Source organism: Homo sapiens, chromosome 3 (genome assembly GCF_000001405.40).
Source record: "Homo sapiens chromosome 3, GRCh38.p14 Primary Assembly".
Taxonomy (NCBI): Eukaryota; Metazoa; Chordata; class Mammalia; order Primates; family Hominidae; genus Homo; species Homo sapiens.
Window position 1 is genome coordinate 47339044 of NC_000003.12, and position 21615 is coordinate 47360658.

General features: G+C 46.9%; 1 protein-coding gene across 8 annotated transcripts in view; it reads left to right on the plus strand.

The window, feature by feature from the left end:
* KLHL18 (kelch like family member 18) overlaps window positions 1–7773 on the plus strand; it is a 63873-nt gene extending 56100 nt beyond the window's left edge. For 6 of the 8 annotated variants that reach the window (XM_005265001.4, XM_005265003.4, XM_017006033.2 and 3 more), the window contains 3 exons: window positions 1514–1633; window positions 3676–3787; window positions 4512–7773. In XM_005265001.4, coding sequence (XP_005265058.2) covers window positions 1514–1633; window positions 3676–3787; window positions 4512–4898 — 619 coding nt within the window. In that variant the 3' untranslated portion in view covers window positions 4899–7773. The remainder of the gene's footprint in view (window positions 1–1513; window positions 1634–3675; window positions 3788–4511) is intronic. The other 2 variants (XM_005265002.6, NM_025010.5) reach the window with 1 other exon arrangement.
* The last annotated feature ends 13842 nt before the right edge of the window (window positions 7774–21615 follow it).

Below are 21615 nucleotides of genomic sequence, written 5' to 3' on the forward strand. Positions count from 1 at the left end.
AAGGAGTTGGGGAGTTGGGCTTGTCTCATTTAAATCTGAGGCAGGCCTCTCTCTGGGCAGTCTTGAGGAGAGACCTCAGCCTCCCCAAGCTATGGCTGCCTGTCTGTACAGTGATTATGGTGCTCTTTCCTTCCTTGCAGGGTGTGCTAAGGGCTGAAAATAGCAAGTGGGCCATGCACAGTGGCTCACACCTGTAATGCCAGCACTTTGGGAGGCTAAGGCGGGAGGATTGCTGGAGCCCAGGAGTTTAAGACCAGCCTGGGCAACATAGTGAGACCCCCGTCTATACAAAAAAAAAATTAGCCAGGCATAGTGCCATGTGCCTGTAGTCCCAGCTACTGGGGAGTCTGAGGTGGGAGAATCCCTTGAACCCAGGAGGTCAAGACTGCTGTGAACCATCATTGTGCTACTGCACTCCAGCCTGATGATAGAGCAAGACCTCATCTCAAAAAAAAAAAAAAAAAGAAAATAACAAATGTAGAGTACCTAACACATGTAGTAAATGCACAGCAAACAGGAGCTGTGGCATCAGCCACTATGATAAATTAGAGGCCATGCACATGATGAAAACAACATCTGTGAATTGAGTGGGAAAAAGCAGAGGTAACACAACAAACATACATTCAGTGCCTGTTACATACAGGACATCATACTTATCACTGTGAGGGTCACACAGGTGAAGGCCCTTTCCTGTCTTCCAGGAGCTCCTCACTTATTAAGAGGTGGCAGATAGATTGGCTGGGTGTGGTGGCTCACTCTTAACAATCCCAGCACTTTGGGAGGCTGAGACAAGAGGACAGAAGTTTGAGACCAGCCTGGGCAACATAGCAAGACCCTGTCTCAAAAAAAAAAAAATTAGCTGGGTGTGGTGGTGCACACCTGTAATCCCAGCTACTTGGGAGGCTGAAGTGCAGGAAGATCAATTGAGCACAGGAGTTCAAGGCACAGTGAGCTATGATGGTACCACTGCACTCTAGCCTGAGTGACAGAGCAAGGCTCTGATTAAAAATTACACACAGAAGTGGCAGATAGATTCCTGGTAGCCTATAATGTCAGAACATAAGTGCTTTGTGGGCTGGAACTTTGGCTTGCTTACCACTCTAAACCCCAGCTGTTACAGATCTGATGGATGAATGAATGATTGTAACAACTGCTGATTAATAAGCCACTCAGGGAGCGTGGGGGTGGGAAAGAGTAATTCTTACAAAGGGGAGGAAGAGGAGAGTGGAAGTTGAGTTGGGCCTTCAAGGTAAATTCGACCTTCACATGGTGAGGTGGAAGGTAAGCATTTTAGAAAGATTAAGGACAGAGAAGAGCAGGGAGGGGAGGCAGCCTGCGGTAGAAGGGTGGGGCACAAGAGGAATGATGGGGCAGCTTCTGTCACCTCAGTTTTATGCCTTTACTTAGTCACATACCTTAGATTTACGTTGCAGAAAGAGGCAATTGATAGGTTTGTTTCTCAGTGGGCAAGAGAGGCTGCTCCAGGAAGGCTGCGGCTCATCTGGGATGACAGCTCTGTCTGTTTCAGTGCCATGGGGACAGTCGTGCTGGATGGGCAGATCTACGTCTGTGGGGGCTACGATGGCAACTCTTCCCTCAGCTCCGTGGAGACCTACTCACCTGAGACGGACAAGTAAGGACTCCAGCTCCCTTGGGGCAACTGGAGCTTATAAACAGAGAGTATAAAAATCAGAACTGTAGTTTTTTTAATTTAAGCTTCTCAAGGGTAGAGAATGTCTTACCTTTTTGCCCGTATAGTACTTTGTATATACTAGATATTTAATAACCCTTGGTTAAGTGAAAGAATGAGTAAATAAAATTTTAAAACAAATAGTCTACATAGTTGCTTGGAAATACTTATTTAATGGTCTGTACCTCTTAGCTAAATCAGCCCATTTTAATGGAAATACAGGCAAGAGGGAATAAGAAGTAGATGAACAGCATGTTCCAAAGTGGGTAGGATATGATTTGGAAAAAAAAAAATGTTTTTAAGTTCTGTGGTCAGATAGGCTTGGGAAATGTTGATGTCTGAACTGCCAGAGTCCTTGTCTTTCCATAAGATATATTAACATTTTAAAGACTCTAAGAAACCCTGCAGTAAATAACTCTGTTTAACCTCGGGTTTTATATACACAACAGTCACCATCTTGTGGGACTCATTTGTGGAACACTCTTTGAAAAACATTGACAAGGTTAGCCCGAGTTTTTCATTTCAGTATTTGAATCCTCTCATCTTATATAATAAAATATAAACAAATTAGTTGAATGGACTTATTAGGATGCCTTTAAGCCAGTATTCTGTTCACTTGACCAATCTACTGTGGATCAGACAGCAAGCTGGGTGTCTGAGATCCTTTAAAGCATCCAATGTGGTTGGGCCATGGGTTGCATCATGATCATCCTACCCTGGAGGCCTGTGTCAGAAGCTCTTGGGCACAGAGCAGAGAGAACCTTCATCTTCCCCAGGGTTGCAGGAAGGGACAGGGTAGCAGGGATGTCTTCCAAGGTGAGACCTGTCATGGATAGCCAATGGGAGGTGTTTGCTCATCATAGGGAGACAACAAGGAGTGAGGCTGCAATAAGAAAGTGTTCACTGTAATCGAGAACAGCAATGATCCTCTCATGGGCTAGAGCACAGCGTGTGGATGGGAGACGGAGCAGGGTGGGTGGCATGTGGTGTGGGGTGAAGCTGAAGGGTGGTTGAGGACCAAGAGGTGAAGAACCACATGAAGGGCTGGGCACAGTGGCTCACGCCTGTAATCCTAACACTTTGGGAGGCCAAGGCAGGAAGGTAACTTGAGCCTAGGAGTTTGAGACCAGCCTAGGCAACATAAGAGAGACCCTGTCTCTTTTAAAAAAAAAAAAAAAAAAAAAGGAGAGAGAGAAAAAAACATTAGCCAGGCATGGTGGCATAAGCCTCTAGTCCCAGCTACTGAGAAGGCTGAGGCAGGAAGATTGCTTGATTCTGGGAGGTCAGAACTGCATTGAGCTATGATAGCACCACTGCATTCCAGCCTGGGTGACAGAGTGAGACCCTGTCTCAAAAATAAAAAAAAATTAAAAACCACATGAAGGAACCTGGATTCTCTTAGAGGAGACAGTGAGGAGCCACTGGACGGACATGGTGCAGGTACAGGAGGAGCAATCCCTCTGGCTGGGTGGGGTCGGATGGGACTGGTAGGAAAGCCAGGCTGCCTGTAAAGAGGCTGTTGCAGTGGTCCAGATGAGAGGTCAGGGGTAGGGCACTGGTAGTGGGGATGGGAGCAAGCACTGACTAGGAAGCAAACCAGCCAGGACTTGGGGGACCACAGGAATGTTGATGGTGAGGGAGAAGCAGCCAGAATAGCACTGAGCTTTATAAGTACAGCAGCTAGAGGGCTGGTGGTCTGCTTAACAAGGCAGGGAGTGCAGGGAGGAGCAGAACTGTAGGAGAAAGAGGTCTTGTATGAGACAATGATTTTGAGCAGCCATGGAGATGAGCAGAGAAGATGGGCTGTGGGTTTGCAGCTTGGGTGAGAGGCGGCAGCCAGGGAGAACTGTCAGAGAGGTGGTGGGAGAGGTGATAAGAGATGGAGAGATGGCCAGCACAGTTCACCTAAACCCTGCTAGGCTGTCTTGAGGGAACAAGAACCCTGAATCTCATGCTTCCCCTCCTATTTTGACTCTTTCCTGAAGATGGACAGTGGTGACCTCGATGAGCTCGAATCGCAGTGCTGCTGGGGTTACAGTCTTTGAGGGCAGGATATATGTGTCAGGCGGCCATGATGGTTTGCAGATCTTCAGCAGTGTGAGTCTGGGCTCCCCCTGGGATAAGGGTACCTACTTCTGTCTTTGAGATTTATTTTAGAAGATCATTATTTGAAAAAACTTCAGCCTTGCCACAGCTGAATAAAGTATCATCTAGTGAGGTTTCAGGCTATCCACTGCACCTTCTGAAATTCTGAACTTCCAGAGAATGAGCCAGTGTACACAAAAGAAGGGCAAAGGGTAGTCACATCTGCAGCCACCACCCTGTTCTACTGTCTGTTGAACACTACATAGAACTTGTGAGATTCCTGCCCAAAGTAAGTTCAGTTATAGACCAAGTGTAAATTTGCAAACAGTTGTATTCTTTTGGATAATTTGTTTGAAATTGTATTTATTCTGTAAAAAAGGCTCAACAGCCATTTACTAGTCATTCCATAGTCAGTCAGTGCTGCAGTGGAGAGCCCTGGAGATTACAGGAGACCCAGCTCTCATACAGGTTCTGTCACTACCTAGCATTGCATCCTTGGGCACATCCTTTTTGTTTCCTTAGATGCAAACAGAAAGGGTTAGGTGAGGTGACCTCTCCCTGTCCCCATACACCAAAGAGCAGGCCTGCAGCAGAGGGAATACTGGGAGAGCTCCTTGTCCCCATACCTCCCACAGGAGTTTGACATCATGGGGGGCTGCTGTGCCCTGCACGGTCACTCCATGGACTGAGCTTTGCCTCTGACTGTCCTGTACCTGTGCCTCTCTCCCCACTGCAGGTGGAACACTACAACCACCACACAGCCACCTGGCACCCTGCAGCTGGCATGCTCAACAAGCGCTGCCGGCACGGAGCCGCCTCCCTGGGGAGCAAGATGTTTGTCTGCGGGGGCTACGATGGCTCTGGCTTCCTCAGCATTGCCGAGATGTACAGCTCTGTGGCAGACCAGTGGTGCCTGATTGTCCCCATGCACACGCGCAGGAGCCGGGTCTCCCTGGTGGCCAGCTGTGGGCGCCTCTACGCTGTTGGGGGCTACGACGGACAGTCAAACCTAAGCTCAGTGGAGATGTATGACCCAGAGACAGACTGCTGGACATTCATGGCCCCCATGGCGTGCCATGAGGGAGGGGTCGGTGTGGGCTGCATCCCTCTCCTCACCATCTAAGGCAGAGGATGGGATGTGGTGGGGCAGGGATCTGGTACAGACATAGGCGCTTCCTTCCAGGAACAGTCCCTCAGGAGAGGCAGTGGACCAGAAGAGATGGCGAAACGTGAGCTCGCCGGAGGTACAGTTTTTCCAGGTGCTTAAGCCCTCCCCCACTGTGCCACCCTTGTGACCTTCAGGCTTGGGTCATCAAGATGCACAGCATGGAACACAAGCTCCTCTGGATCCTGCAGCTGGTGACATGGAACTGTTTTCTGGTCCACATGAACACAGGCTCCATCCAGGCCCAGCTCCTACCCACCGCCTCTCTGTGGGCCAGCTGTTCACAGAAGGCCTTCCATCTGATGCTCCCCATCGCCTGCTTGCTCTCCAGCCGAGTCTGGCCAATTTGCCATGGGGAGGCTGCAGTGTCCAAGCCTGCTGGAAACTGGGATGTAGCTGGGGACGAAAGGACAGACCCAAGCGTTCTCCCTGCCTGAGATGGTGTGGCCACAGCAGTGGAAGGCTGCACACAGGCACATTCCTTCTTCCACAGTGGGGCACCAAGGATTCTGTCCTCATTGCTGGGTAAGCAGGGAGAAGAGAAGTTTTCCCCATGTCTAATTTTGGGATTTCAGTGAGGCCTTTTGATCTGTCCAGGAGAACAGAAGGGAAAAAAAGATACTTGAAAGAAACTGAAGGAAATTTAAACAAAGAAACACTTGAAAGAAACTGGAAAGAAAAATAATTTTTTTATGTGAACAAATTTTGCAAGAAGAAAAAAGCATAAAAGACACTAACGGCAAATCTATGTTTAAATGGAAAATCGTCTAACTGGAGAAGGGCGGTATCCACCCCACATTCGGATCCCAGGGTCCTGAGGCCTCGCATTGAGCTGGGGGTTCCCTCTGAGCCCCAGTGTGTGTGGAATCAGTGCACTCTTGACTGGGCCTGTAGTAAGGTGCTCATGGGGTTTGTCTTCTCACCCACCATCAGAGGACTTTTAAAATCATAGGCGTAGAGAGTTAGGCTATCTGCTGAATTACTGCCACTCTTCTTGGTGGGGGCTCCTAGCTGTGGCTGGGGGCTCCAGGCGCCCCTGTGATTACCTCCTACTGCCACCATGGCGCTCATTCAGATTCCCCACTCTCACTAACATTGCTTCCTTTTTTGACCAGCAGGAAACAGCAGGTCTGGCCAGATTCTCACTTGCCCATCAATCTCGTTCTTGGATGATTTCCCTCATTGTGATGCTTCTGGGGCACGTTGACCATATGCACCTCTAGAACCTAACCAGGGCTTCCTTCTACCAGCTGTGGGCGGGCTTGGTCTGGTAACCTTGTCTGCTCTGCCATTCCACTGCTCCTCCATCCACTCGCCAATCCCAAGAGTCTGGCCTCCCTCCAGCCCTGGGCAGACTGACCAGCAAGGTGGACCTTTACATTCAAGCACAGCTGGCTTTTATGACATAAAGAACTAAAGGCCGAAAGAATCTCTTGCTGCTGCAAAGAACAGATTTTATATTTCTTCCTCTAATCTTGGCAAATGACCTTTACCTTTTGGAAAGATTTCATATTGCTTCCTCCTCCCTGGATAGGACCTAATGTAGCACAGCGGGACTCAAAGAGGAGGACATTTTCTCTTGCCAGTGCACTGGGCAGTGGGGCTGTCCTTCAACTGCTGCTGCCAAAATTGGTTTTCTAAAATTCTTCCAGTAGAGACTAAAAGAAGATTCAATTCCTGTAACCCAAGACTGAGTCTTAGGGCTCCAGTCTCCACCTGCTTGGTTTCCTATCCTTTGCTGCCTGCCTGGGGTGGCCTGGAAGCCTGTTCAGAAAGGCACAATGTGGAGCCTGGGGTGTCTCCCCCACCCCAGGACCGTCAGGTTTACCAGTGTGTGCAATCGCCATGTATTCAGAGGGAAGTACCTTTGTTACCTACAACTTAGGAGCTAGGCCTCTGCTACAAGCACTTGAAAATGATATTTTTATTTTTAACGTCTCAACAATCTGATATCGGATGTCGTTTAACCTGGGCTCGTGGTAGGGCTCCAGCATTTCTCCCTCCTTCCTGGTTTGCCTGTAGGGGTAGACTCGGAAGGTGGGTGGGGTGTGCATTTCCTGTTAGGAGTGTATCAGTGCTTGTCTTATTATAAGCCCCTTTCTTTTGTGAATTTGAAGTAGCACCAACAAGCCTGGATTGTGAAGGTATTAAGAATCGGTCTGTGGGCTACTGAGTGGGTCCTTAGGATACTGGCCCAGATTTTGCCACTGGGTATGGCAGATCATTTTCTACCATGGCCTGCTGCTCTTGTAGTGGACTTCCTGAGTCCAATCCCACCTCCTGGTGTAGAATTTACACTGCTGCACCTGAGGTCGATGTTTCAAAGTAAGATCAAGCCAGTGTTTTGATCTGGGCTCTGAGCACAAGTCAGGAAACACCAACATATTCACACTCTCCCAGTAGGTTCCTCAGTCCGATGGTGAATGGCTATTCGTAAATGGCTGGTCTGGCTCTTTGGTGTTGGAGCCTTTCCAATAGCCCCATGAAAAGAAGCATCACCCAAGGATATTGTAAAAAGGATGTAACAAGGAGATAGGGTAGACATTGTACTCAGTGGGCCTTGGGGCCTAGCCCAGCTCTGAGCAGAGGACTGTGGCATTCACTGTCCTTGAGTGTTTCACCTTCTTGGATAACACACGGGCCTTCTCTTCTGGATTTCATCAGAGATTACAGCCAGATGGGGGCTGAAGACCATCCTCTTGACCACAGAGGTGTGACTGTGGGAATTCCTCCCAATTTATGGTTTCCCAGAAAATCTTAGTTCCTTTTATTTATAGAATGCATGTCTTTTGTGTTAAGAAACCAAAGAGAAATAAAGAGAACACTCCTAATAGCTCTTGTCCTTTCTTGGTTTATTTCTCAGATATTAGAAGTACATGTTTGTTTTTTAATTGTGATTCACTGAAAAAAATATATTGGACAAAATGGGAATATTTCTGTGAATATAAGGGAAAAGCCAGATGTACAGCAAAAGTAGTCTTTGGAGAGATTTATTTTATGAGAGTCACTTCTGGTGAAAAATATGCAAAGACTTCATTTGCACTTTGGGACTGCATATTGGTGCCTGTCCTGATCGCCCCTACTCTCGGATTTCCCCTTTTCTCCATTCACTGCCCTAAAACTCCAGAGTTTCCCAGTGGAATGTGGCTGCCTGTTGACTGCCTGGAATCAGCATCTCCAGCTCCTTTTTTATGCTCTAGGCGAGAGGTGCTTTAACTTTGGTGCACATAAAAGTCACTGGAAAATGTTTAAACCACAGATCCGTTCCTAAGTCCCTCTCTAGAGACAGGTTCCCTAGGGCTGGGGTGCAGCTCAGCATTCTGGCGTGAGCAAGTTTCCTTGGTGATTTGCATGCTCTTCAGTGTGAGAACTATACTCCCATCTTCAGTTTCACTTCCCCAAATACAGCCGCATTCCAGATCTGCTCTTCCAAGATTACACTGTGGTTAGTGTGGTTTTGCCTGTTGGGAAACTCTTCAGTCACACTTTTCCAAAAGTCAGCTTGTGATCAATCTTGTCCATTGGACTCCTGGATGGCAACTTAATTTTTTTAAGTTTTTGGAAGGCATATCACTCCCACACACACCCCACCAGGACATGTCTTACATATAAACACTCTTATCAGTTGAATCTCACATGGTCCTCAGTAATCCCCACGGAGCAGGTAACATTTTAGCATAAGGAAACTGCCTCAGAATGGCCAAGTAATTGACCTGACTCCAGCTAACCAGTGGCATTGTGAGAAATTGAGACCAGATCTCCACACTCACAGTCCAGTCTGCCTAAGGACAGCAGTGTCTTCCACCTGTGAAGGGAGCAGCATTCCTCCCAACAGTCATAGACCTTGGAAAAGCAGACTGGGCAGCAAGGGGAAGAGTGAAGAAGCAGGTGCCTTCATGCTGAAAGAGATAGCCAGACTATCTGGGAACTCTGCCCTCTGGGAGAAAGGCCTGTTGCTTGTAAAGTAGTAGCAGCCCTTTCCATGTAATCTATGCCCCCTTGACCAGAGCCAAAGAGCCCCATAGGTGAAGAGTGGACTGCTAAGTCAAACTGGATTCATCTGCTTGACTTTCCATTTCTTTTTTCTTTCTTTCTTTGTTTTTGTTATTTGGACTCCTTTCCCCCTCATGACCAACAGCAGAGCCCACTCCATTTCACCCCAAAGTCCAGCACTGCTGCTTTTTATTGCTACTCACAATAACCTAACAGTACACAACATTGCTTACTGCAGCCTTGAACTCCTGGGCTCAAGCGATCCTCCCACCTCAGCCTCCTGAGTTGCTGAGACAGCAGGTATGCACCATCATGCCTGGCTATTTTTTTTATTTTTTGTAGAGAATCGGTCTCACTATGTTGCCTAGGCTGGTCTTGAATGCCTAGCTTCAAGCAATCCTCCCGCCTTGGCCTCCCTAAGTGTTGAGATTACAGGTGTGAGCCACCACGCCCAGCTTAGTTCTGCAGTTCATAAAACCTAAACTTCATAGCATGACATAGAATGTCACTGAGATACTGACACTTCCTCTCAGCTGCCCAGCAGCGGTCTTCAGGATCTCAGTTTAGATGTTACCTTCATGAAAACATCTCTGGTCAGCGTGGCACTCCTCCTCCATCTGCTGTGCTGGCCCTTGGCCATATTCTACCATGCAGTGACCTGTTTACCTGTTTTACCTGCTACGTGGTGAGCTCTGTGAGACTCTCCATTACTGTAGACACAACAATGGACATGAAGAAGAGGCTGAACAATAGCTTCTTGAAGAATTTAGGGACAATCAGGTATATCCACATTCAAATGTCACCTAATCATGCTTCCCTTGTCTTCCTCCTTTTTACGTCACTGATTTTTTAATAGTTTCATTGAGTCATAGTTTACATACCTTAAAGTTCATTCATTTTAAGTGTCCAACTCAATGACTTTTAGTAAATGTACAGAGCTGTGCAACCATTATCACCATCTTGTTTTAAAATATTTTCATCACTCAGTTAATCCCTTTTGCAGTTCCCCTTTTCACCTGCATCATCAGGCAACCACTATTTTATTTTGTCTCTATAGATTTTCCTATTCTGGACATTTCACATAAGTGGAATCATATAATATGTGGCCTTCTGTGTCTGGCTTCCTACTTTAGAATAATTTAGTTCATTCATATTGTAGAATGTACCAATAGTTCCTTTTATTGTTTTTAAGTTGTATTCCACTTATACCATATTTTGTTCATTCACCGATTGATAAATGTTTAGATTGTTTCCAATTTGGGGCTATTATGAATAATACGGCTATGAACATTCATTTATAAGTCTTTGTTAGACATATATTTTCATTCCTCTTGGGTAGATCCTAGGAGTGAAACTGCTGGGATCATATAGTAGGTTTAGGTTTAACTTTTTAAGAAATTGCCAAGCTTTTCCAAAGTGGCTGTCCCTCTTTACATTTCCACCAGCAATGTATAATGAATGGTTCAGGTTCCTCCACATTCTTGTCGGCACTTGGACTTTTCTGTTTTGTTGTAGCCATTCTAGTGGATGCAAAGTGGCATCTCATTATGGTTCATTTGCATTTCTCTGACAACTAATGATTTTGAGCATCTTCATGCGATTGTTAACCATTTGTATATCTTTAGTGAAATATCTATTCAATTATTGCCCATTTTTAAATTGGTTCACATGTCTTATTAATGAATTGTAAGAAAGTTTTACATATTCTGGATACAAATCCTTTATTTATCAAATATATTATTTGCAAATGTTTTATCCCAGTCTTAGCTTGTCTTTATTTTCATTTTCTTTCTTTCTCTCTCTCTCTTTTTTTTTTTTTTTTTTTTTTTTTTTTTTTTTGAGACAGTCTTACTCTGTCGCCAGGCTGGAGTGCAGTGGTGTGGTCTTGGCTCACTGCAACCTCCACCTCCCAGGTTCAAGCAATTCTCCTGCCTCAGCCTCCTGAGTAGTGGGACTACACGTGCCCGCCACCACGCCTGGCTAATTTTTGTATTTTTAGTAAAGACGGGGTTTCACCATGTTGGACAGGATGGTCTTGATCTCCTGACCTCGTGATCTGCCCTCCTCGGCCTCCCGAAGTGCTGGGATTACAGGCGTGAGCCACCACGCCCAGCCCTTTCTCTTTTTTTTTTTTTTACTCACCACTATACTAACAAGGGCTCTTTTCATTTTCTTAGTGGTGGTGGTTGAATTGTAAAAGTTTTTTACTTTGATGAAGTTTAGTTTATCAGTTGTTTCTTTTATGGATCATGCCTTTGGTGTCGTATCTTAAGAACTTTTTGAAGTCTTCTTGTTTTATTCTTACATGTAGGTATGTGATCCACTTTGTGTTCATTTTTGGGCATGGTGTAAGGGAAGAGTCTAAATTCATCTTTTCATGGACCGATTTCCATTTGTCCAAGCACCATTTGTTGTAGAGTATCTTTTCCCCATTGAATTGCTTTGATACCTTTGTCTAAATCAATTGGGCATAAATATAAGGGTTTATTTCTAAACTCTTAGTTCTGTTCCATTGATCTGTGCCTGTCCATGATTGTGTGTTATTGATGACTCTGGCTTTAAAGTATTTGTAAGTCATTAAATCAGGTAATGTAACACCTCCAACTTTGTTATTTTTCAAAATTCTTTTGACTTTTCTAGATACTTTGCATTCCCATGTCACTTTTATGATCAGATTGTCAGTTACTACAGAAAAGCCTTCTGAGGTTTTAAATATATATTGTGTTTAATTTACAGATCAAGTTGAGAATTGCCATCTTGACAATATGAAGTCTTCCAGTCTGTGAACATGGAGTTTGTGTCCATTTATTTAGATATTCCTTGATTTCTCTTAGCAATATTTTGTTATTTTCAGTATATACATCTTACACTCCTTTTGTTAAAATGTTCATATTACTTTGCTATTACGAATGGAATTGCTTGCTGAATTTTGTTTTCAGACTTTTTGGTGCTAGTATATAGAAATACCATTGATTTTTGTTTATTGATCTTATATCCTGTGACCTGTCTAAATTCAATCTGTTAGTTTTATCATTTTTTAAAAAAATGTCCGTGTGTGTCTTCCTTGAGATTTTCTACATTATCATGTCATCTGCAAATAAAGACATTTACTTCTTTCTTTCCAATCTGTATGCCTTTAATTTTTTCCTGTCTTATTGTACTGGCTAGAAATCTAGTACAGTGTTGAATGAAAGTGGCAAAAGTGGACATCCTTGCCTTGTTCTCAATCTTAGGGAGGAAAACCTTCAGTCCATCACTGTTCAAGTTGATGTTAACCTGTGGGTGTTTCATCTATACCTTTTCCAAATTGAGGAAGTTTCATTCTGTTATTAGTTTCTTGAGAGTTTGTATCATGAATTGGTGTGAGATTTCATCAGATGCTTTTTCTGCATCTATGAGGTGACATGTGGTTTTTGTTCTTTAGCCTGTTAATGTTATAACATTAATTTATTTTTAAGATGTCGATCCAACGTTGCATTCCTGGGATAAATCCCACTTGGTTATGGTGTATAATTATTTTTTATGTTGTCAGATGTGGTTTGCTAATATTAAGTATTTTTGCATCTGTGTTCACTTGAGATATTTTCTGTAGTTTCCTTTCCATGTGATGTCTTTGGTCAGTAACACCAGCTTTACAGAATGAGTTAGGGAGTGTTGCTTACATCTCTATTTCTGAAAGAGTGTGTGAAGGATTGGTATTTTTTCTTTTTAAAATGTTTGATAGAATTCACCAAAGGAGCCATCTGAGCCTCTGTTTTTGTGGGCAATTTTTAAATTTCTAATTCATTTTCCTGACTCATCTGGGGTCCCCCTTAGGGTGGGCACCTGCTTCTCTTAGGGAGTGGGACCCTTGTGGTTAGGGAGATTCTTGCCCCACCAGCAGGGATTGAGATCACCAGAGTGAGCATGGTGTGTGTCCTTACAAGCTCCTCACTTTTCCTCTCTCCCTTGCCTTAGGGTGCTCACCTCTCCTTGTCTCAGAGACCATCCCTGTTCTCCACTCATACTGCCCACCACCACCTTTTTCTAACTTCTGAATATAAGAGGCCTTAGAGCTCAGCCCTGGGTTCTGATTTCACTCCATGCATTCTCCCTAGCTGGTACCACCTTATCCCACATGTGAGGAAGGTGTCTGGAATCTTATTTTTTGGACTGGCCCAGATTCATGCGTTCACTTGGATATGTCCAATATGATCATAGTTCAAAGTGGAAATTTTGATTTTATCCTCAAACCTGGTCATCCCCCAGTTTCCCCCAATCTTCTCACCTACCCAGTTGCTCATTTAGGAACCCAGCAGTGGGTTTTGGAGGTGGGAGAAGTTGAGGGTCATTCATTTCCTTCTTCCTCCTCTCCAATAACCAAGTCATGACCTAGTTCTGTTGACGCTACTTCCAATCCAGTTCTCTCCTCTCTTGCCATACTAGTCCACACCATCAGCATATCTTTTAGAAGCTGGATTATGGGCCGGGCGCAGTGGCTCACGCCTGTAATCCCTCCACTTTGGGAGGCCGAAGAGGGCAGATCATGAGGTCAGGAGTTCAAGACCAGCCTGGCCAACATGGTGAAACCCTGTCTCTACTAAAAATACAAAAATTAGCCGGGCATGGTGGTGGGTGCCTATAATACCAGCCACTTGGGAGGCTGAGGCAGGAGAATCGCTTGAACCCAGGAGGCAGAAATTGCAGTGAGCCGAGATTGTGCCACTGCACTCCAGCCTGGGCAACAGAGCAAGACTCTGTCCCCCCCAGCCCAGGAAAAAAAAAAAAAGAACCTGGATTACTACAATGATCTCCTAACTGGTCTTCCTACTTCCCCTTGCTCACCCTCCAATCTATAGACAGCAGAGCAGCCAGAATGAAATTGTAAAGTTGTAAATTGCAGCATGCTCAGATCCCTCCAGTGGCTCCCAGGACCTCAGGGCTTATTCTCCTGTTGGGATGGCCTGGGGAACAGTTTACACGTAGCACCCCTAACAGACAGGATGTGTGCCCCCGACCCAGGATGGAGGGGCTGGGGCACTTAGCCCCTGCATTCCAAGCAGAACTCTCCTTCATTCTTGATTTTTTTTTTTTTTTTTTTTTTTTTTTTTTTTTGAGACGGAGTCTTGCTCTGTCACTCAGGCTGGAGTGCAATCGCGCGATCTGGGCTCATTGCAGCCTCCGCCTCGGGTTCAAGCAATTCTCCTGCTTCAGCCTCTGGGGTAGCTGGGATTACAGGCACCTGCCACCACGCCCGGCTAATTTTTGTATTTTTAGTAGAGATGGGGGATTCACCATGTTGGCCAGGCTGGTCTTGAACTCCTGACTTCAGGTGATCTGCCTGCCTTGGCCTCCCAAAGTACTGGGATTACAGGCGTAAGCCACCGTGCCCAGCCTCACGATTTATTTTTAATTAAAAATACTGAATTTTAGGTATGGGGACAAAGCAGTAAACAAAACTGATAAAATTCCCTGCATCTTAGAGCTTAAACTAGAACAAGACCTGTCTTTCCGTCGTATTCAGATCTAATTTTGTGTGTTTTAATACGATTGGGCTCTAATTTGGTTGAACTTAATCTGCAAGAATCTAGAGGAAGCCTAAACTGGGAGTTTTAGGGTAGAAAAGGATTTGGCTTCATGTCTGCTGGGTGTAACAGTGTGGGTGAAGGACCCCGGGAGAGCAGGGCCACGGACACTATTCCAAGCATTACTTTTATTATTTGCCAGTAGACTATGGCAAACTTGTTCATAATGTTATTTTTCATACCATCTTTAAGTTTTAGCATTAAGCATGGATTGCGGAGCTTTACATCTTCTTGATTTTGAATTAAATAACTTTTTTTTTTTTTTTCTGAGGTGGAGTCTTACTCTGTTGCCCAGGCTGGAGTGCAGTGGTACGATCTCAGCTCACTGCAACCTCCTCCTCCCTGGCTCAAGTGATTCTCCTGCCTCAGCCTCCCGAGTAGCTGGGATTACAGGCATGCACCACCACACCCAGCTAAGTTTTGTATTTTTAGTAGAGACTAGTTTTCACCATGTTGGCCAGGCTAGCCTTGAACTCTTGGCCTCAAGTGATCCACCCACCTCAGCTTCCCAAAATGCTGGGATTACAGGCATGAGCCACTGTGCCTGGCCAAATTAAATAACTATTATCTAGGTGCTCACACATAAATTATTTTATGTAAACTATTGGCAAAGTTTAAATAATTTTGGAAGTGCATGTCCTTTAAAGCCTCACTACTCAACATGTAGTCCATGGATAGGCAGCATCAGCATCACCCGGAAGCAGGGCCTTGTGGCTGGTACTACAGGCCAGCCTCATCTTGCAGGGCCAGTTTCCCCAGACCTTGTGTGATGTGTGATGTTGACCACCATAGATGGGCCCTGAGTTTCCTGGGAGAAGTCACCCAACCCAGTCCCATCGTGTGCAGGATCCAAGAGGCTGGGCCTAGTGACCCACAGAAGACCTGGATGAGGCCAGGAAGCACTCTTTTTTCATAGTGGAGGGTTCTGCAAGGGAGTGATGTGGCATGAATGAGGTACGTTTGCATTCTGTGGGCCTGCAAGGGTTGGAAGTAGCCTTTGCCAGCTGAACATCAATTTCTCCACTGTGGGAGAGGATCTGAGGGTCTCGACTTATCTTGCTCAGGTCCAGAGTCACCTCTTGCAGCATCCCTTTTCCCCTCCTCTTACCCACTAGTGGGTGCCAACCAGGATTTAGGTGTCAACTAGGCCGGGCGTGGTGGTTCACACCTGTAATCCCAGCACTTTGGGAGGCTGAGAGGGGCAGATCGCTTGAGGCCAGGAGTTCGAGACCAGCCTGGGCAACAAAGCAAAACCAAGTCTCCTCAATACAAAAATCAGCCGGATATGGTGGTGCGTGCCCATAGTCCTAGTCTGCTGTTCAGGGAGAAGTTCTGGCTGGAGCTGTGTTATAAAGGTGGGGGCATTAAGAAACTAAGGGGCTGAGGGGGCTGGCAGTCGACTCCTCTGCCTTCCTGAGCCTCCAGACCCGCCCTCTGATGGCCCCCAGTTTCTCTTCATGGTTCCTACCCACCCAGAGCCTGACTCATTGGTCTCCTTACCCCACATCAAACCAGTCCAGCCTCTCTCTAACACTTTATTCATTCACTCATTCACTTAATCATTTTTTCCAGAAATGCTTTATTAAGCCTTGCTTGTGGTTCTCTCCCAAGGATGGGCAGCCCCCTTTGGGGGTGTCCGGATATGTGAAAGGGCATTTGGTTGTCACGTGACTGGGCAGGGAGCAGAGGTGTTCAGGTCCCTCACAAAACAAACTGCCTCTCAGGATGCCAGGAGCACCTTATAGAGAACCTTGTTCCACAGCCACCTACAGCTGGTTTAGGAGGGTGCGCTGTGAGCCAACACAGTACTGTCTGAACAGTGAGAGTAAAAAGATAAGGGAAGGGCATTTCTACCTGGGAGAGGAGAGAGGCTTCCTGGAGGAGGTGACTTTTGAGCTGTGCCTTGAAGGATGAGTAGGGTTTACAGATACAGGATGCGGCAGGAATTCCAGGCAGAGGAAAGCAGGTGTGCGAAGGCAGAGGAGTGTGGACAGGCTTAGAGTTTTGGGGGCTCTCTAAAAGGGACACCCCCGGACTGTGCAGGACAGGGGTGCTGAAGGCCCCAGAGTGAGCTGGACAGGTGGGGAAAGGGAGGTCTGTGGCAGGCCTCCCCTCCCTTTTCCAGCCCTAGAAATGACTTAGGATGTTGGTAATGGTGTCTACTTGACTTTCTCATATAGGTCCCTGACCACAGGTGGTAGCTTGGTGTTCCCAGGCTGGGAGGAGGGCATGGCTGCCTCAGAGGACCCACAACTCCCTGGAGGCACCTGCAGAAGCTACGCTGAATAGTCACCACCATCACCGTCACTGACCGACCCCTCCCTCAAGGCCTGGGTGAGGGGGCTGAGGCGCCGGCAGACAGGGCTAAAGGATGGGGCTAGAGGTGGCCACTAGGCTGAACCCCTTTCCCCAGATCCCAGAGGGCCCAGACTCTGAGACTTGTTTCCGTCCTGGCTGTTCTTCTCAATTGCCAGGAGGCTCCACTTCTGCCTCCAGTTTTCCCAAATGTGGGATTAAGGGGAGGGTGGGTTTCCAAGGAATCTCTTGGGGCCAGAGCCCAGGGTCCAGAGCACAGCCAGGGCCCTGAGAGCACCGAGCGCCCTCAGCCAGCCCGGACCCCTCCTCTTCGTCTCCTGCGGAGGACTAGCAACAACCTAGACCCTCGCATTCCCCACACACTACAGGCCTCCCCCTTCCCAACAGCTTGCGTTAAGTGCTGGATCCGCTCCTACTTTCCAGATGAGGAAACTGAGGCGCCATGCTCTAAATTGCTGGCCCAGGCGGCGGCACCCCAGTGGTCGGGAGGTAACCAGGCTAAAGCCGCCGGCGAGGGGAAGGACGGGATTCGCGGCGGAGTTTCAGGGAGGCGCGTCTGCAGGCTAGAGGAGGGACCCGGGGGACCACACCGGGGCGGGCTCACCTCTGACTCGCGCCGGGATCTTTGTTGGAACCGAGTGTCAGGAATCGCAAATACCGCGTGAAGAATTCCCCCGTGGCCAATCTGCACGGGAGAATGCTTCACGCTGGGCCATTTGCGGTTCCTGACCCTCGGTTGCAACAAAGACCCCGGCGCGAGCCACAGGTGAGCCTACCCCGGTCCGGGCCACCCACCCCGAGAATGGCAGGACTGCCCGAGCCCAGGACCCCGGCCGTCCAGGGAGGCCGGAGCCTGGAGGGCCGTGTAGACCCATGGGACCATGCCCCACTGTGGTATTTTCCCCTAAGTCATCCTCAAACCATAGACGCAAGCCAGAGCCAGGAGCGAGAGACAATCGCTAGGAAGAACCCCAGTGGACTAGATGCGCGTCCATTAAAATAAAGGATGGCCACTTATTTATTTATTATTTATTTATTTATTTATTTAGATACAGGGTCTCGCTCTGTTGCCCAGGCCGGAGTGCAGCGGTGAGATCTCAGTTCACTGCAGCCTCGACTTCCTGGGCTCCAGCGATCATCCCACCTCAGCCTCCCCAGTAGCTGCTACCACAGGCCCACACCGCCACACTCGGCTAGTTTTTGTATTTTTGGTAGAGAAAGGGTTTCCCCATGTTGCCCAGGCTGGACTCAAACTCCTGAGTTCAAGCGATCCAGCTGCCTCAGCCTCCCAAAGTGCTGGGATACAGGCTTGAGCCACCCTGTCAGGTGTGTTCTCTTTATATAAATTTAGTAATTTTTAAAGTATGTATTGCTTTTATAAATAAGGATTTGCAATAATTTGTAGCAAGAAAAAACAATGAGAAAAAATCAGATTTTTTCCACATTCGAACCTCAGGTGAAGTGATCAGGTGAGGTGGGTGGAGGCAGACACACATCTTCTTTAGAGCAAGAGAGGAGGGGACCTTTTGCTCACAGGGCTGGGAGCTGGAGGGATGAAGACTCAGCTGCCCTCCCTGAAGGCACATTTTTGGGGCCATCTCCCAGCTGGAAATGCATACTATCTCTTTAATCCTAAAGCTGAGTTCTAAAGAAGCAACAAAAAAGTCATGATCATCTCCCTTTTACAGGTGAGGGAACAAAGGCACCGAGAGGTTAAGGTTACACAGCTGGAAGGGTCTTACCCCAGGTCTGCACTTTTCACCAAAGCCAGGGGGCTTGTTAAGTAGTCTCAGCAGAGGTTTAAGGTGCTTCAGCTTTTGGAAAGTAGCCAAAGGATACCGCTTACTAACTGTACAACCCTGAGGGGTCATGATATAGTTTGAGCGTATCTTCCTGCCAAATCTCATGTTGAATTGTAATCCCCAGTGTTGGAGGTAGGACCTGGTAGGAAGTGTTTGGATCATGGAGACTAATCCCTCATAAATGGCTTGGGCCATGCTCTTGGTGATAAATGAACTCTTGCTCTGAGTTCACACAAGATCTGGTCATTTAAAAGTGTGTGGCAACTCCCCCTCCATTCGCTCTCTTGTTTCTGCTTTCACCATGTGCCTGTTCCCACTTCACCTTCCACCATGATTGCAAGCTTCCTGAGGCCTCCCTGGAAGCCAAGCACATGCCAGCACCATGCTTCCTATAAAGCCTGCAGAACTGTGAGCCAGTTAAACTTCTTCTCTTTATAAATTACCCAGTCTCAGGTATTTTTTTTAATATAGCAATGCAAGAACGGCCTAATACAGAAAATTGATAGCAAGGATTGGGGCATTACTATAAAGATACCTGAAAGTGTAGAAGTGACTTTGGAACTGGGTAACAGGTAGAGTTTGGAAGAGTTTGGAGGGCTCAGGCTGGGCATGGTGGCTCACACCTGTAATCCCAGCACTTTCAGAGGCTGAGGTGAGCAGATCATCTGAGGTTGGGAATTCAAGACCAGCCTGGCCAATATGGTGAAACCCTGTCTCTAACTAAAAATACAAAAATTAGCCAGTCATGGTGGCACGTGCCTGTACTCCAAGCTAATCAGGAGGCTGAAGCAGGAGAATCACTTGAACACGGGAGGTGGAGGTTGTAGTGAGCCAACATTGTGCCACTGCACTCCAGCCTGGCAACAGAGTGGGACTCCGTCTCAAAAAAAAAAAAGAGTTTGGAGAGTTTGGAAGAAGACAGGAAAATGAGGGAAAGTTTGGAACTTCTTAGAGACTGGTTAAATGGCTGTGACCAAAATGCTGATAGTGATATGGACAATGAAGTCCAGGCTGCCAAAGTCTCAGATGGAAATGAGGAACTTATTGGTAACTGGAGCAAAAGTAACGCATGTTATGCCTTAGCAAAGAGCTTGGCTGCATTGTGTTCATGCCATAGGGATCTGTGGAAGTTTGATTTAGGGTATTGCAGAAGAAATTACTAAGCAGCAAAGCACTCAGAATATGGCCTGGCTGCTTCTAACAACCTATACTCAGCTGTGGGAGCAAAGAAATGACTTAAAGTTGGAACATATGTATATTTTTTGTTTATTCATTTATTTGTTTGTTTTTGAGATGGAGTTTCACTCTTGTTGCCCAGGTTGGAGTGCAATGGTGCAGTCTCAGCTCACTGCAACATCCACCTCCCAGGTTCAAGCAGCTCTCCTGCCTCAGCCTCCCGAGTAGCTGGGATCACAGGCATGCACCACCACACCTGGCTAATTTTTTTGTATTTTTAGTAGAGACAGGGTTTCACCATGTTGGTCTGTCTGGTCTTGAGCTCCTGACCTCAGACAGTTCACCTGCCTCAGCTTCCCAAAGTGCTGGGATTATAGGCATGAGCCACCATGCCTGGGCAGAAGTTATATTTAAAAGGGAAGCAGAATGTGTAAGTTTGGAAATTTTACAACCTGGCCATGTGGTAGAAAAGTAAAGCCCATTTTCAAGGAGAGAATTCAAGCAGGCTGTGGCACAACGACTTGCTAGAGATATTTGCATAGCTAAAAGGGAGCCAAATGCTAATAACCAAGACAATGGGGAAAAGGTCTTGAAGGCATTTCAGAGACCTTTGTGGCAGCCCCTCCCATCACAGGCCCTGAGGCCTAGTGGGGAAGAATGATTTCATGGGCCAGGCCTAGGGCCCTGCTGCCCTGCACACCCTCAGGACACTGCTTCCCACATCCTGACCACTCCAGCTCCAGCCAGGGCTCAAAGGGGCCCAAGTATAGCTCAAGCTGCTGCCACTTTGCAGTCTCACTTTGGAGAATGCAAGTGGTAAGCCTTGGCAGCTTCCATATTATGTTAATCCTGTGGGTGCACAGAGTCCAAAAGTGAAGGCTTGGCAGCCTCCGCCTAGATTTCAGAGGATGTATGAGGAAAGCCTGGGTGTCTGGGCAGAAGCCTGCTGCTGTAGCACTGCCCTCACAGAGAATCTCTACTAGGGCAGTGCCAAGGGGAAATGTGGAGTTAGACCCCACACACAGAGTCCCCAGTGGGGCACTGCCTGGTGGAGCTGTTGGAAGGAGGCTGCCATCCTCCAGACCCAGGAATGTTAGAGCCACCAATGGCTTGCAATTTCAGCATGGAAAAGTCACAGGGGCAGAGCTGCCCAAGGCCTTGGGAACCCACCCTTCCCACCAGTGTGCCTTGAATGCAGGATATGGAGTCAAAGAAGATTGTTTTGGAGCATTAAGATTTAATGAATGGGCTGGGCGCAGTGGCTCATGCCTGTAATCCCAGTGTTATAAAGTTTTGGTGCAGCAAAAGAAATAGCACTTGAATATAAAATTTTCTTTTTTTCGTCTCAGCAAGGCAATTTACTTCTATAGAAGGGTGCGCCCTCACAGATGGAGCAATGGTGAGTGCAAACCTGGGCAAGGGAGGGGAAGAATTTCTCCTGCTGCTGTGTTGTTCCCCTATTGGCTAGGGTTAGACTGCACAGGCTAAACTAATTCTGATTGGCTAATTTAAAGAGAGTGATGAGGTAAGTGGTTTGGCAGGAAAAATGGTTATGGAATGAGTCAGGGTGGAGAATGAGTCAGGGCGGAGCAGGTAATTGAAATGAGTCAGGGTGGAGCAGGTAATCGGAATGAGTCAGGGTGGAGCAGGTGATGGAAAAAGGTTGCTTTATGAGGAAGTTAAGTTTAAAAGTAGAAGGCAAAGAATGGAACATACTGACATATTGACTCTTTGAAGAGAAATTTAGGACTCATATCTAACACCAGGACTTTGGGAGGCTGAGGTGGGCAGATCACCTGAGGTCAGGAGTTCAAGATCAGCCTG